We start from the raw sequence: 4,076 nt of genomic DNA on the forward strand, positions 1-4,076 counted from the left end.
GATGCTGAGACAGGAGGATGGCTTGAACTCAGGAGTTCTAGACCAGCCTGGGCAATATAGCAAGATCCTGTCTCTACAAAAAAATACAAAAAAAAAAAAAAAGAAAGAAAGAAACAAAAAACATAAAATTTGAAGGCAGAAGGCCTGGTTCAGGTCATAGGCTATGACACACAGGGTAAGCCACTTCTTAACTTTTTCATCTCAGCGTCCTTATCTGTTAAATGGTGATGATAACACCTGGCACACAGGATTGTTGTGAGCATCAAATGACTGCACATGAAAGGGTAAGTTTCTATTTCAACCGTGATGGAGAGATGGTTAACATGCCTGCACTTCATAGATTCTGAGAACTAAAGGACAAATACACCCAACAAGCAAAATTCGAGGTGCAATTGCTTTATTAGATGATATCCAAGTACTCGTGTATCTACACATATTTCTCTATATCAGCTAACAAAATGGGGAGCCTTAAAAGAAACACAAGTATTTTTTTCAAATATTTGAAGGGTTCCCAGAAAGAAGGATTAGCTATTTCCAAACTGGTTCAAATATAGAACCTTAGTCAGACTAGCAGGTAAAAGCTACAGGGAAAAGGATTTGGGATCAGTATAATAAAGAGCTTTCCAATATTTCAAACTGTTTAAAAATGAGACAACTCCCCATAAGGAGATGAGTTCTCTGATAGTGAAGATGTTTAAGTTGAAAGGAATGACCGACTGTCAGGATATGTTAAACGTTGGGTGAGGTGCAAGTTGCATGAGGGGAGGGGGTGTGTGTCTGTTTTGTTCACTGCTATTACCCCGTGCCTAGAACAGTGCCTAGCATGTGGAAGACTCCCAGATACAATAAATAAATGAGCAAACTGGGCATGGTGGTGCATGCCTGTAGTCCCAGCTACTTAAGAGGCTGAGACAGGGGCATTGCTTGAGCCCAGAGGTTTGAGTCTAGCCTGGGCAACATAGGGAGACCCTGAGAAAGAAGAAAGCAAAGCAAAGCTAAAAAAAAAAAGAAAGAAAAGGAAGGAAAGAAAGGAAGGAAAGAGAGAAAAATAGAGAGAAAGAGAAAAAGAGAAAAGAGAGAAAGGAAGGAAGGAAGAAAGGGAAGGAAGGAAGGAAGGGAGGGAGGGAAGGGAAGGGAAGGGAAGAAATGAGCATATCCTGTGATCACTTTGAATCTAAGCCTATAATTTTATGATAGATGTTCAACAATTCTTAGTTCTGTTGAGTCTGTGTCCGCTCAGCAGCTCAGCTGGGCATCTCAAAGGTCAAATCATTTAAATATTTTCTCTGAGTCAAATTCACAAACACAAGAGTTGATTCTACATCTGCAGACAAACAGGTACCAGAAAGCCCTACCTCACTGTTACACACTAAGAGTGTGGAATGAACAGCAGGTGAAATAGCCAAACCTACACAAATCAACCAACAAAATCAAATGGGAGTTGAGGAGAGGCGTAGGTGTTACTCAGGTATAGTGCCAAGTGGATCTGAGGACAAGAATGTTCTCCTATGCATCTCTGTATCCTTAATACTAAGCACAGTGCCTGGCACAAAATAGATGCTCAAAAACCATTTGCTGAATTCAACTGAACTGAAATTTATGTCTGACAATTATTAACTATTTGCCTTTTCATTTCGTATGAGGTTCACGATTCATTGTTATATATTTATTCATACATTGACTTGGATTTAATTGCTTATATCTCCCCCACTACATTACAAACACCATAAGGGACCATGTCTCCTATTGATCATTGTATACCATGTAGCCCTGGTACATTGTGTGGCACATAGGAGGTGTGCACTTAATATTTGTTGAATGAAGTGAATAAATACTGGAAGTGGATCTCTAAAATAACTGTGTACTTGAAAGAATTCTAGAATCATAGAATCTTTCTAATCCTTTTAGTTATTATTTGTTTATTATCAAGTCTTCCCATTTAGACTGAACCATTTAAGAAATGAAGCAATTTAATCTAGATAAAATAATGGTAATGCAATAGTAATATCAGAATATTTCTTCTAAATTGATGGTCAAAAATGCTCATGAGAGTCCCCAGAAACACTCAGCTTCAAGTTTTGTTTTTTCTTTTTTTTTGAGACGGAGTCTTGCTCTGTTACCCAGGCTGGAGTGCAGTGGCGCTATCTGGGCTCACTGCAAGCTCCGCCTGCCGGGTTCACGGCATTCTCCTGCCTCAGCCTCCCGAGTAGCTGGGACTACAGGCGCCTGCCACCACGCCCAGCTAATTCTTTGTATTTTTAGTAGAGACGGGGTTTCACTGTGTTAGCCAGGATGGTCTCGATCTCCTGACCTCATGATCCACCCGCTTCAGCCTCCCAAAGTGCTGGGATTACAGGCGTGAGACACTGCGCCCGGCCTCAGCTTCGAGTTTTTTAGGGAAACATTTTACTGGCCAACACTCCCATTTTCAAACAGACTTCACAGTCAATCCAGAGGCTGCAGATAACTAACTTAATCCTCTTCTTTGGGCTATATAACTGGGTTTGTCTTTTTTTTTTTTTTTTTGGCACTTCTACTGAAGGGCATACTAAGCAGAGAAAAGAAATCCAGTCAAACCATAAGCATGAATTTTGGCAGCTTTTATAACAGCCAAGCCTAGTGAACAGTTAGTATTTGGTGACTCCAATGTTGTCTTTCTGGACCTTTTCCCACCCAGTCATGGAGATATCCCTCCACCCAAAGCTGCTCCATTCATACCTAAGGCTCAAATGGCTGTGAAGACAGTGTTTGTTACCGGTCTGCAATAAGATAACTTACATCAGAATATAAATGAAAGCACTGAAGCTTCCTGCATTGGAAAAGTCTTGCTACCTTGCTACCAAGATAAAAATATATTTCAGATGAACTAAATAGTGTGCTTCATGACATAATTGACTTAAATCCTGGCAAAAGATCCTTACCTGGTTGCAAGTCAGGAACAAAGAGCTTCAGAGACTGGCGCTTTGAGCAGCATTCTGCTAAGCCATAAAAAGATATCTCCTCCTGCATATCTGCATTTTAAAGGACAATAAGAAGCTTCAAACTGAAGGAATCATTCCCTAAGCACAGGTTCTCACAAACATAGGGATATTATGTCTCGAACAGGTGGACATGGTATTTGGGGTTTAGAAGGGAACCACTGAAATGAGGCATCCTGCCATAACCAGATCTAGTACATAACACATGCATAAAACGGTATCAATTCCTTTTCTCCTACATCCTGACCCAATCCAATTTTTTTTCAAAGGAACACATGCATTAGAATCACCTAAGAAATTTATTAAACATGCCTGTTGCCAGGCCAGCTGAATTAGAATAGCTGGGTATGGGCCTAGGAATCTGTATGCTTAACAGGCATCCAAAAGATTTATGTACACTGAAATCTGAGAACCACTGCATTAGATCAGCTGAGGCTACAGAAAAGATCTTTGCAACTGCAAAGGAAACAAAAATAAAAGTCCAAAGTGAGCACCAAATAGGAACTTTTGTCCCTGCCACAGATATTTCAGAAAGCAAGTGAATACAGCATAGCCGATCAACTGATGCAAGCACCCCCTACACCACAAATAGGCTTTGCCCTATAGCATTTGCCAGTTACTGTTTAAGCAAACCATTGTTTAACTGCCATTAACCTCATAGGATTATTGACACTGGGTATCCATTTCTCAAAGAGATGTCAGATATTTGACTAGGTTAAATTGAGAAACACTGGATTCTTTGGCTTGGTTTCGTTTTGTTAATGGAACTTCCTCACCTCAGAAACAGCATGTAAGTCAATTAGCCTTTTTCTAACTAAGGAAACAATGGACTTTATTCACATGGTATTTCACTCACAAGTCCCCTAAATTACTGGCTTGCCAAACCCTGCTCAAGTAAGCAGGCTGAGTGACAATAACAAAAGCTAAATCATTTGGCATTTCAGTGACAATGTATAACAGTGTATAAATTTTTTAAATCCCCTTACTGTTCTGCCTTCTCAGCAATGACACATCTACAAAATGGGCACTAGGCCAAGTACCCTACCACAAAACAAAATCGTTGCCTGTTGTGGTATTAATGTTCAGTGAAGCAACTGG

General features: G+C 40.2%; 1 long non-coding RNA gene across 1 annotated transcript; it reads right to left on the bottom strand.

Moving 5' to 3' along the window:
• Positions 1 to 380: 380 nt before the first annotated feature.
• On the bottom strand, positions 381 to 2,850 carry LINC00562 (long intergenic non-protein coding RNA 562). Its single transcript, NR_047492.1, has one exon. It is a non-coding gene; the product is annotated as a long intergenic non-protein coding RNA 562 (long non-coding RNA).
• Between the last annotated feature and the right edge of the window lie 1,226 nt (positions 2,851 to 4,076).

The sequence above is a fragment of the Homo sapiens genome, chromosome 13 (genome assembly GCF_000001405.40).
Source record: "Homo sapiens chromosome 13, GRCh38.p14 Primary Assembly".
Classification (NCBI taxonomy): Eukaryota; Metazoa; Chordata; class Mammalia; order Primates; family Hominidae; genus Homo; species Homo sapiens.